General features: G+C 39.0%; 1 protein-coding gene across 17 annotated transcripts in view, besides 1 other annotated feature; it reads right to left on the bottom strand.

The window, feature by feature from the left end:
* GARNL3 (GTPase activating Rap/RanGAP domain like 3) overlaps window positions 1-13,126 on the bottom strand; it is a 169,048-nt gene that overhangs the window by 117,146 nt on the left and 38,776 nt on the right. For 9 of the 17 annotated variants that reach the window (XM_047423963.1, XM_011519086.4, XM_005252268.3 and 6 more), the window contains one exon: window positions 11,494-11,563. The exons of 3 other annotated variants lie outside the window; for them this stretch is intronic. In XM_047423963.1, the coding sequence (XP_047279919.1) occupies window positions 11,494-11,563 (70 nt within the window). Of the gene's footprint in view, window positions 1-11,493; window positions 11,937-12,515; window positions 12,617-13,126 lie in introns of those variants that run through there. 5 more of the 17 variants (NM_001286779.2, XM_047423968.1, NR_104591.2 and 2 more) reach the window with 3 other exon arrangements.
* Window positions 8,102-8,221: an enhancer, noted in NCBI's record as "active region_29037". NCBI's record gives its function as "activates an Ori minimal core promoter by ATAC-STARR-seq in GM12878 lymphoblastoid cells {active_cell/tissue: GM12878}" and the evidence as "EXISTENCE:reporter gene assay evidence [ECO:0000049][PMID:35858748]".

The raw sequence follows: 13,126 nt of genomic DNA, 5'->3' as shown, positions 1-13,126 counted from the left end.
GAGTCACCAATTTTAAGACAGGGAAAGATTACCCAGAAAGAGCATATATAGTAAGAACAATGCTGGAGGCAGAATCTAGAAGAGCACCAAAATTTAAGGGCCAGCCAGACAAGAAGGAATCAAAAAAAAAAAAATGCTGAGAAGGTGAAGCAGGGAGGCAAGAGGAAAAGCTGATAGTATGGAGATGTCAAGAGAGGAGAAAATTTTAACAGGGCTACAGAGTTGTCATGTAACATGAAGACTGACCTGTAATCCCAGCCTTGCCTTGGGAGGCTAAGGTGGGAGGATAACTTGAGACCAGGAGTCCGAGATCAGCCTGGATAACATAATGAGACCCCATCTATACAATCAATCAATCAATTCAAAATGTTAAAAAAAAAAAAAGGCAGAGTTGAGGAATGCCAACTGGATTTGGTAGCAAGGAAATCTTTGGTGACCTTGGCAAGAGCAGTTTCAGTGGAGTACAAGGAAGGGAAGCATCAAAAGGAGAAAGTAAGAAGGGAAACTGTGGAACCATTACAAGGAGCAAAAAGAGAACTTAGAGAATAGCTGAAATGTACTCCCAAAGTAATCAAAGAGCCTTCACATCTATTATGCACGCACAGTTTGAGATTATATTTTAAAAGACTGCAACACAACGATAACTGCAATAGACCAATTAAAAAGTTGAGGCCAAAAAGCATACAATCCTTTTCTTGCACATAAAAGAACCCAAAGTAACTGCTTTAATTACATGTGTAAAATAGTTCAATATAAAAATATTACTTATAGCTCAACTAACAGTGGCAGTGTGACACCATGAGCCAGCCATTTATGGTAAGCCAATCACGGCAAGCTACACTGGATTTTTTTGCATGACTCCCTAAATTTGATTAGTGATATAAAAGGGAAGCAAATTTCAGAACCCACAGATGTTCCCCTCCTTAACAAACAGGGCCAAAAGCTCTTCTAACCCATGGAATGGATATGTGCCCTACGAAAACAGAAACTTGCCCTGAGACAGGAGAAAGCTGAAAGACAAGGGTTTCATCTTAAGGCACCAAGAGAGACTTTGATGAAGCCTCAAATTCTCTTGGATCCTGAACCCCAGGGAAACTTGTTCTAAGTTGCCTGCCAAGGGGCAGTTAATAAGTTAAAATAGGCTAGACTTTCCTCTGAGGGCCTAAAAAAAGAGCTCTTAAAGTCCACAGCCCATGTGGGGAAAGATTGGCAAAAACACCAAATTCCTCTTCATCTTTAACAGCCCCAAAGAGGTAAAAGAGTGGTTTTCAAACTCTATGCATGTTCATGGCATGTGAATACCACAGTTTTGAGGGAAGGCCTGCATGAGTTCAGAAGAAAACATAGGTACTGAAAAAAGCAACTTTGAGAAAACAAAATATATTCTATTGCTAAGAGCAGTACATAAAGGTATATTACATTATATATTTTAATCAAGTTTAAAATTTATTCCTGCTACAACAGATGATGCACACTGCTGAGCCTGGTCTTGCTTATCTGAAAGTTGAGGCGGGCACACGACAAGCCATGATGCAGGGCAGAGAATGATCTGGTACAAGTAAGGTGTGAAAGGCAACGGCTGTTACCAAACAGACACCAAGAAAGTCTGTGTGTTTAGAGACTTATGTGCATTTTGCCTCCTGAGTGTATGAAACCACAATCAAGGTAGAAAACTGCTGTACTCAATTTCCTTTGCTGAAGAGTTAACCAGGTAAGTGGCGTGTTCAGTTTGTATTTCTGGTTATATGAAAAATAAACTATTATACATTGATCAAAATTTGGAAGTGTTTTTATATACATCAGGGGACCATATCCCATCAGTTGAAGACTACTGGAGTCAAACAACAGAGACTCCCAGGATACCAGCATAAGGTTGAGGAGCCTGAGATTGTGAGCCAAGCCAAGGTGGCTGCAAGAGAGCAGCACAGAGGCGCAGAGAGGCTTGCCCTGAGGAGGAGAGCCTTGAGTGTCACAGGAATGGGAGACTCCTGTGGCCTCTAGGGAGAGCATGAGGAAGCCAGGACTCAGAAAGGAGGGAGTGGGGTGCCTGTAACTCTGGTTTTGAAACTAGAGAGCATGCTGATGTCTGGTATCAAGGTTCCCAAGGTTGATTTTGTCTGGGAAAATTTGGAGAAGTTGTCTGGTATTCTTATTACAGCATGTGTTCAGCTGGTGGATTTGTTACAGTTTGTGACCCGCCTATGCATGTCATTAACACAGCACTCGGAGCTCAAGATGGTCACCAAATGGCTGGTCAGGTGGTGTTAATTCTCCCCAAGTTTTGTTGATCCTAGAAAAATAGGTCATAAAATCATACTGTATCAAAAAGTAGGGTAGGGAGGAGACAAGCATCAAAGTTATTCTACCTGTCAATGGAGGACAGAAGGATTATGCTGTTAACGGCTAGATACAGAAATACTTTTATATTTATGCTCTATCTTATTTTTTAGAAAGGATTTAAAAGCAGCTTACTTAAATATATCTTACTTAAAGGATAAAATGAGATACTGAGCACACTCAGAACAAGGAAAAATCAAGTGTAGGTAAATAAACTGAAAACAAGAGAATAAGATGAGGATGCATGTTATAAAGTCCTTTAAGACTGTTAGAGATAAGCCACAAATGGAGTTCGGAGCTTCCTAGGAGCCAATGCAAAGAGGAAAAGCCCTTTCATTTACAGGATTCCCACTGCTTATAAGGTTAACAACAAACCAGCTTCTCAGGAGAAGCATGGCACTTTTTGGTCCTGAGAAAAATTTTTTCTCATAGGTCTTTTTAAATGAGACTCTGTATATGACGAACATAAAATTCTTAGCAGCATCCTACAAGCAACACACCACCAAGATCTATCTGGCTGCTTTCCACTCTGTCCATCAATGCAGGTTAAAGGCATAATGCCATGGTACAAGTCAAGAAAAGCAAGTCTGAGAGGGGCCAACAAAGGCAGGCCAAGTGTTTGTAGCTAACTTATGGTTGGGCTTGATCTAGGAATTAAATTTAAACCATTTAAGGCATGGGCATGTCTTTGGATAACTCCTTATGGACATTCTTAATAGCAAGCTTTTGTTAAGATTTGGACGAAAAATAGTTTGAAATTATATGTTGGAATGGAAACCTAAAGCAGAGCTACTTTATGCTTTTGATTAAGGACAGCGGTATTTGTTCTAACAATCAACCTAATTTTCTCAGGAAACACTCTATACACAGCAGGGCTTTAAGAGCATGGGCTTGCAGGCGAAGAGATTAAGCGCAGGGGCTCTCGGAGGCAGATAGACCTGGGTTTAAATGTCACTCCTGCTTCTTCCTAGCTGTGGGACCGCTCTGGTATCATCAGTTAAATGGGAATCCATTTAATATTCACAAATGTCTTCTGAGCATCTACAGTGTGTGGCCTAATCAAATAATGCCTACCTCATATGGTTTTTTGTGGGGATTAAATAAGTAAATACATCTACAGTATTCAACAGAGACTGGTACGTGGTAAGCATTCAATAAAATGTTAAAACTAATAATAAAAATAATAAAATAATAACCATAATAAAAGATTTCTGATTCCATTCTAATGTATAAAAAGTAATTATTAAAGTCTCAAAATTCTACATCACAGAAAATGGTTACAATAATTTTGGCCTGAAAAAGCTTAAAAGTGAGCACTATCAATCACCAACAGAGGCAGTAAAAATATCAAAAAAGCACCATCCATAGTTTCAAAACATGTTAACTTGTTGGTGAATGTTCTGATATACTTTGTACCTGGAGGTATCCACAAGAGTTGACTGGGAGGCTGAGGCAGGTGGATCACGAGGTCAGGAGATCAAGACCATCCTGGCCAACATGGTGAAACCTGTCTCTACTAAAAATACAAAAATTAGCTGGGCGTGATGGTGTGCACCTGTAGTCCCAGCTACTCAGGAGGCTGAGGCAGGAGAATCGCTTGAACCTGGGAGGCAGAGGTTGCAGTGAGCCGAGATCGAGCCACCAGCCTGGGGAACAGAGTGAGACTCCTCCTCCTCAAAAAAAAAAAAGAGTTGGCCTGCTATGTGAGACACAGATATAAGCCAGATAAATTTTAAAGAACATCTGTCAAAATTATGATTTTAGCTGTACAACGCTGAAGTCTTGATGTTTTGATGTTCCTGAGGGAAATATGCTGGTACCCTCACTAATCTCTCAGTTTGGTAATACTAGATAGAATATAATTTCTCCCATAAAGTGCCTTTGAAAGTAAAAACCCTACTTAACCCTGAGTAGAGCACAAAACTGAGTTGTGTTAGGGGTGCTGGACAGGCAGTTAAATCACTCATTAGCAAAGCATCATCTTTCTTCACAACAGTCCCACAGGTATAAATCCAATCTGTGCCTGAACAAAAATACAAATTACTACATATCAAGACTTCAAGAGTCCTCAAACAGTCAAAACCTCAAATGCTAAAATCTGCAGATGCCAAGCAAGTTCATCATCAACCGTTCTTTTGATAGTTATTAGACGGTACAGCCAGATACCCTTTGAGGCTACCCTGAGTTCATGACAACGAAATCATGCTATCTGTATAGAGAAGCACTGATATATTTATTTCCTATATAGCAGGGGAGCATGCACGTGGCTCATCTAAATGCAGGTTTGAGTCATTAAGAAACAAGCTTAAAAAGGAATGGACAATATACTACCTTGTTTTATCCTGACTTGAAATCACCAGTAGATCATTACTTACCCAGAAGTATCAAGATACGGGGTTTTATGAGAGTCAGCAGCTGGGCTGGGGAGGGGAGAGGTCTATATTGTGCCCATACCATTTATCACTGATACTGTATCAATTTCCTAGCCATCCAGTTTAAAGGCCAAAAAAAGATCAATAAAAGCTACAAACAATCTTGTGCTTTTTCTGACAGATTTCAACACAAAGTGATGAAGAATGGTTGATGGTGTGATAGCTGTGTCTTGCCTAGAATGCTGCCATGAGAGACAAGACTTGCAATTCATCAAGAAGAAAAATGGCATATGCTTTTGATGAAATGCACTGCCAGCTAATGAGCCTAAGTATATTGGTTGAGGGGGGAATCAAAGAGGCTTGTTTTCTCTTTCCTTTATTTATTTTTGATGGGTTAGGCCACTCTCTAATTTCAACCAAATGGGATCATTCATTCATTCAATCAATAGTTACTAAGTAACTAATGCTAAGCATTGTGCTTGGTTCTAGAGATACAGTGGCAAATAAACATTATTCCTATTTTTAGGGAGTTCATAATCTATATCTTTATTTATGGTATTTAAAAAAGTACAGAGATAAGGGAGTCCATCAGCAGAGGAAGACATTTTCACTAAGTGCTTTTAGTTTGAGCTTTTAAATTCTCGCTATATGAAGGAATGTTAATGGACACATTTGGGAGTTCCAGCTCAGCTCATGCCCTTCTTTGAAACTGACTTGTCTATATCATCTCCAGAGAAAATCTGCCCTGTCCACAAGCATTGCTGAGGGGATGGGCCTCAAAAGCCAGGTTTATAGTCTATGACCCCACTACCCTGAGCACAAGTGTTTGAATCAGGGATAGATACCTGAACAAAGAGGAAACAATCCATAGTATTCTATTTGGAATTTGAAATTAGGATCCAAGAATGAAGAGACCACGGTGGCCAACAGAGCTGTAACCCATGTAAACCATGGGGACTGGGGGGCCAGAAATCAATTCAGTAATAAAAAAACATTTATAAGAAACTTAGTATGTGCCAGGCCCTGTGCCATGTTCTAGAAATAAAACAATGAACAATACAGAGTAGTAAGTAAGTGGTAAATGAAATGAATATAGATTGTGATAAGCACTGCTAAGAAAACAAATAGGATGTTGAGTTACAGAATAGCAGAGGAAGGAACTAATGTTGATGGGATGGTCAGGGGAGGCCCCTCTGAGAAGATGGTATTTAAGCTGAGATCAGCCGTGAGAAGCCCCAAGAATCCATCAGTAAGAATGACTAGTAAGCGCAGGGGTCCTGGGACAGGGAAGAGCTCAGTGTGTTCCAGAGACCAGGATAAAGGCCAGACATTTGAGCCACAGTGAGGAAGCGGCATGAAAGAAGGTGAAAGAGAAAGACAGGGTAAGGATCACATAGGTTCTTGTAGGGCTTGGTACATGGTCTGGCCTTGAAGTACAATGAACAGCTGAAGAAACATTTTAAGAAGGAAAAGACATTGTATTGACAACATTTTAAAACATCATTCTGTCATAAGGACAGACATATGGACCAATGAGACAGAAGGGAAGCCCAGAAACTAACCCTCACATCTATAGTCAATTGATTTCTGACAAGGGTACCAGGCCATTCAATAGGGAAAGGACAGTCTTTTCAACCACTGGTGCTGGGAAAACTGGATGTCCACAAGCAAGAGAATGCAGCTGGACTCTTACCTCACACCATATAGAAAAAATGAACTCAAAATGGCTCAAAGACAGCTAAAACCATAAAAGCCTTAGAAGAAAACATACAAGAGAATCTTCTGGACATTGAATTTAGCAATAATTTCTTGGATATGACACCAAAAGCATAGACAACAAAATAAATAATAGATAAATTTTACTTCATCAAAATTAAAAACTTCTGTGCATTAAAGGCACTGTCAACAGAGTAAATAAGCCACAGAATGGAAGAAAATATTTGGAAATCATCTGATAAGGGACAAATAACCAGAATATAAAAAGAACTCCTACAACTTGACAGCAAAAAAAAAAAAAAACACAAAAAACAAAACAAAACAAAAACCCAATTCAAGAATGAACAAAGAATTCGAATAGTCATTACTCCAAAGAAGATACACAAATGGCCAATAAGCACATGAAAAGATGCTCAACATCACTAATCACTAGGGAAATGCAAATCAAAGCCACAATGAGATACCACTTCATACTATTACAATGACTATTATTTTAAAAATGGAAAATAACAGGTGTTGTCAAGATTGTGGAGAAATAGAAACTTTGTGCATTGCTGGTGGAAATGTAAAACAGTATAGCCATGGTGGAAACAAGTTTGGCAGTTTCTCAAAAAGCTAAAAACAGAATCACCTTATGATCCGGCAATTCCACTCCTAGTTAATAAACTCCAAACAATCAAAAGCAGGACTCCAACAGGTATCTGTACACCAGTGTTCATAGCAGCATTAATTTTAATAGCTAAAATGTAGAAACAACGCAAGTGTTCATCAACAGATGAATCAATAAACACGCTGGGTGCGGTGGCTCATGCCTGTAATCCCAGCACTTTGGGAGGTCAAGGCAGGAGGACTGCTTGAGCCCAAGATTTCGAGACCAGCCTGGACAACATAGAGAGACCTTGTCTCTACTAAAAGTCAAAAAAATTAGCCCGGTGTGGTGGCATGCATCTGTAATACCAGCTACTTGGGAGGCTGAGGTAGGAGGATTACTTGAGCCCAGGAGGTCAAGGCTGCAGTGAGCCATGACTGTGCCACTGCACCCCAGCCTGGGTGACAAGGTGAGATCCTGCCTCACAAACAGACAAACAAACAAAACAGATAAATGGATAAACAAAATGTGGTGTATCAATACAACGGAATATTATTCAGCCATAAAAAGGAATGAAATTCTGATATACACTATCACATGGATGAACCCTGAAAACATGCTAAGAGAAATAAAACCAGATACAAAAGGACAAATATTGTATGATTTCACTTATAGGAGGTATCTAGAATAGGCAAATTCATAGAGACAGAAAGTAGAATAGAGGTTACCTGGGGCTGGGAAGCTCTGTTTTTAGCTTTTTGAGGAACTGCCAAATAGGAATCCAGTGTTTAATTGATAAAGAGTTTCATTTTGGGATGACGGAAAACATTCTGAAAGTGTATAGCAGTGATGGTTGTACACCAATATGAATGTATTTAATGCTCCTTGAACTGTACACTTAAAAATAGTTAAAATGGCAAAGTTTATGTTCTGTCTGTTTTACCACAATAAAAAATAAACTAAAAAAGAAAACACCACTCTGGCTGCTGGGAAAAATGAGCTGGAGAGAGGCAACTGTGCCATCAGAAGCTGTTCTGCAGAGAGGAGAGTGATACAGACACAGAGAAATGTGAAGACAAGAAAGCATATGGACCAGAGAGAAAGAGAAAATAGTGGCTTGCTGGTTTTCCATCACATGAGGCGCAGCTGCACTTCCCTCCCGTGAGATTCACCCATATCCTTTCAGTGAATTGCTTTATACTTGACCTAGACAGAACAGATCTCTGTTCTTCATAAGAAAACAATCCCTGGTTAAGGCAGGGAAACAGCTGAGATCCAGATACAACACAGCCTGGGGACACGGTGTGAGGCTGCTAGTTTCTAAAGTGAAGGCTCCATGAGAGCAGAAAAATGGTTTTGCTTCTCTCCCCTGACTCTCAGTCACTTGCACAGAGCCTGACACATGGATGACCCTCAATAAATATGTGTTGAAAGAATGCTAAGTAGTTCTCCCATGAGTCTGTCAAGATCTGGGTTTCCATCTTCTCATCACCAAACTAATGCAGGATGGAAACCTAGAGAACTAAGCCCTAAGTCTTCTCTCATTACTGATATGAATGGCCGAGCTTCATTCTTCACAAGACTTGTGACTTGTTCAAGGTCAGGAGAAGTTCATGCTAAAATTTCAATTTTATATAATCTTAGACGCCTTTCTGGAAAGTTTGAGTTCCAAGATGCCCAACACTTATTGGGTTCCCAACAATTTTCATCACAGCAGGCATAAGAAAAGTCAAACTCACTTTTTCATAAGTCCCTGCAACACATAATGGTTTGTAATTTAATAATACTCTGTTGTTCAGAAGTGAGAGGAAACATCACGCTCCTCTTAAAACACTGCAGTCAGAATTTCAAGAGATCCTCAGATAATAAGAACGGAGCTCTGCTCATTTCACTTTTCCCAACCTTCCTGACCACCAGCACACATGTCATTTTTAATACGGGAAAATGAGAAACAACCTAATTTTACAAAATTTACACAGATAATCATTTATCACTATGTTGGCCTATCATGTACCCATTAAAATATGACTCTGAAGACTATATAAGAAGACATTTAGAAAATACAGTATAAATGGAAAAAGAAGAATGCGAAATTAAATTAAATACATAATTTCATTATAACAATATAAAAATGAGGTTTGTAGCTATAAGGACTGGAAGGTACCACAAGGAGATGAAAACAGTTGCTGCAAGGTAAGATTATACGTGGAATTTTTAAATATATTTAAAATGTATTTTATAATATTCTAAAAAGTCAACTACAAATACACATACACACAGTCATGGCCCCAGAGGAAAAATGTGAACAAATGGATTGAAGAACGTTTGGTCAACTGGATGCCTCATCAGGCCAAGGATAACTGATGACCTAGCTGAGGTCCTCTAAGGCAGAGCTTCTTAAAGTATGATCCTGGGACCAGCAATATCAATATCAATCTGGGAACTTGTTAGAATTGCAAATTGTAGGTTAACCTTGGATCTACTGAATTTGAAACTCTGGGACTAGGGCCCAGCAATCTATGTTTTAATCAGCCTTCCAGAGAGTTCTGATGTCTGCTCAAGTTTGAGAACCACTGCTCTCAAGTACTTTTCCATTCTGATATTCTGTGATTTCCCCACATCTTTAAAGAGTCCATCTTTCACACCCATGTTATCTCCCCCAAGTAATGTTGTCACTGTTTAAAAGCGCTCCATATTACTTGCTAGGCCAAGTCCAAAGTGTTCACCTGACAGTCAAGGCTCTACTTTTGCTACTGAATTTTGTCTTTATGACTGCAGCTGGTTAACATAAACTGTGCTTATGTGCTAAGTACTTTATGTACATGATCTCATTTAATCCTCATAACAACCCTCTAAGGTAGATAACAGAAATATCCCCATTTTATAGATGAGAAAACTGATGCTAAAGGAAGTCCAAGATCATACAATTAGTGAATGATGAAACAAGAATGACTTCAGATCACATGTTCTTCAGCATTACTGAGGTTCAGAGAAGTAACCTGACTGGTCACAAAGATAAGTAATAGACCTGGTATGGGAACCCAGGCCTACCTGATTCCAAAGCTTGCTTGCTTTGTAATTACAAAGCTCTTTGCTAGGCAGGACCATTTGCTCATTGCCTTGGGACACGGCATTGCCAGGAATCATACTGTTAGCTCATACCTACTGTCTATCCTCTCTGCCACCAATCCACATCCCACAGCTCTCTGCAAGGTCTTCCATGGTGTGTCTCTGAGACCCCTGGCCAGAATGGGTGATCCCTTCCTTCTCTGAACCCCCGTGGTGCTCTACATGCATCTCTTTCACAGTACCAATTCCTACTCTGACTTATAGCTATGCACCTGCTCCTTCAGGGGAGGTGGTGGTCTAAGTGGTGTGGTGTCACCAGTGACAGACAGAACAGGTGTTGACTGAATCAACTGAGGTATCTTTTATGTGGCTAAATTCATTCTTCAGATATTTTATGTGTCTTATCTGCCCAGCCAGAGGACAGTAAGCTCCTTAAGAACAAGGACTGTATCTTTTACTCATTTTATATTTTCAAGAATACCCAGCTCCAGGCTAGGTACACAGTCAGGTCCATAACATATGCTTGAGTTCAAGTAGAACGCCACTGGTACACAACTCCGCTATAAATTTTTCTACTACTTAAACTCTGCAAGGATGCAGCTTATATTAATAGGGGAAAATTGGGTGCTACACAAATAGATACAAGCAACTCATTTTTAATAAATAGAAATAGTAGGCAATGTCATTAACAGTGTTAAATAATAATCAATATAATTTTATGAGCACATTTCTGAAAATTTGTTCAGATTTTCACGTAATTGGAAAAAATCACATTCTATCTTTAAAAAATATTGAGACTATTATATGCTTTCATTATGGCTCTTTTAAAATGAAAACACACAAATTTTAAAAATCATAGCACAAACACTAACACCTCTCATTAAGGAAAATGTAAATATTTTCATTCCAAATATTGATCATCCATAATAGTCATTTATCTAGTCCAACCAATATGCTTTTAATGGGAAAAACAGCTCTCATAAATATTCTAACTCCTACTACACACCCAGAAAGCAAACATACAGAAAATCAGAATACGTATTTCAATAATATTTAAACCTTGAAAACTAGATTTATAAACTTTTAGGAAAAAGGTCATATATAAGCCAAATGCCACCTTTCTTAATTCATAAATTGTTTTATTTAATTATATACACAGAGAAAAATACCAAGCCGTAACATATTTTTAACAAACTGGAAGACAAGATTAAAAAGTATGTAACAATAAAAACAAATAGATAAAGAAGATCAAATTATCATAGCCTTTGTATAGTTATTTATTCCAATCCAATCCTTACACTGTACCCACATGGTCTAACAGTAAATATACAACAAAAGATCTGATGAGCTTGGCAATCGTCTCTAAATCTAAATCAATGTACTACCACTGAACAGACAGCATAAACTTACCAGCTCCACAGATCCATAATGTTTCCTACTGAAATCCCCACGTCTACAGCCTAGGTCTTCCGAGACAGAGCTGGAACAAAAATGCTTCATCAGTATTATACATAGCGATCTGGCCACAAACCTTCTGCAAAAATCAACTACCATTTGCAAAAAGGGCTGCTATGGAACAGACTTGCAGTGCCCCGGCTCCTCACTGCAGGGGAGCCTCCTTGCAACAGACACAGTCCCCAGCAGCCATTGCAGAGCCTGGCTTTCATGGAGCCCTCAATAAAAAGCAAACGCCAGAGTCATCCCTGGAAGTATAGGCAATGATTCAATTAAATATTTAGTCATTTGGAATCGATTGAAATTTCCAAGGTTACTGGTGGTTTATAATTTCATTTCTGTATAACCAGAGAGGAGAGAAGCCCTGCAGTAAACTTGAGGCAAGGGACAAAGCTGCTGAACCGGATCTTGCAATTATCTTTCATTTAAGAGAGCTCTTTGTCCCAAATATGCAACATAAAAATAACCAGCATTATTTAATGCTATATTTTAAGTAAGAGAAAGAAACTTCACAATCGTGGTAGGCTCCACCCTCTGTCCCCCTTTAATTTAGGATTTTTATGTGGCAATATGAAAAAAGACCAGAACTAACAGAAAATCTAATGTCCAAGTATATTCAGCTTTTTACATAGCAGCAGCTACCCACCCCCCAAAAAGGCTTAAATCAGATTTCAAAAATCACATGTTGTTGAAGAGTAATTAAAACAAGGGCAAAATTGTTACTACGTTTTCATCCTGAATGCACAGTTGCACACTCAAAAGGCACAAATCTTATTAGTTAGTATATTTAGCACTCAAGCAATACTCATGAAACCACATGAGATCCACAAAATATAAACAGTTTTAATAAGTTTGATTCTAATATGTCATGCAAATAACTCTACGATAACATAGAAAATAAAATTATATAGGAATAACATGTTTACTATATTCAAAACATTTGGGATCTAACATGCAAAGAAAGGTGCATTTAGTACCTTTTCATCCTTCCTTAAAAGGTAGGTTGCATTTTCTAAATTACAGCCCTCTTGGCACATGCAGAAAGAGACTGACTCTGATGTTTAGCAACCAGAGAACTGACTCTCTGCCAGGACACTGTTTGACAGGCTCCAAGAAAGACAGCATGAGAGAAATGAGATTAGAGAGTCTAATGGCATTCTGCTTCCACCATTTCACAGAGATGGCTGAATTAATCTTATATGAGAAATTTAACCTTTTGTAGTCCTCCCTCTCTTAGCTGAAAATGGGCAACACATCAATGCATGCAGTTTGAAAGTGTTCCAGATATTACCCAGGCTACATTCTTGCTTCTAGTGATATGATTTTCTACCCAAAAATCTCCAAAAAAGAATAAAAACCTTCCCTCCATGGTCTATTCCAATCTGTATTAAATATGTCCTCTACGCCTATTTTCTTAGCTCATTTTGAAGACCTTCCTGGAGGCTACTGCCATTCCCCTACATATCAGTTACCAAGCCCGCATCACTGGCCGCTCCAGTGAGAGGAGTGCCGGTGGACTTGGACAGAGATCGGGCAGAGAGCGGATGCCCAATGGCTGTTGACTAAATGCTGTGTCTGCCCAGAGCTC

The sequence above is a fragment of the Homo sapiens genome, chromosome 9 (genome assembly GCF_000001405.40).
Source record: "Homo sapiens chromosome 9, GRCh38.p14 Primary Assembly".
Taxonomy (NCBI): domain Eukaryota; kingdom Metazoa; phylum Chordata; class Mammalia; order Primates; family Hominidae; genus Homo; species Homo sapiens.
This window is presented reverse-complemented; position numbering and strand designations above follow the sequence as displayed.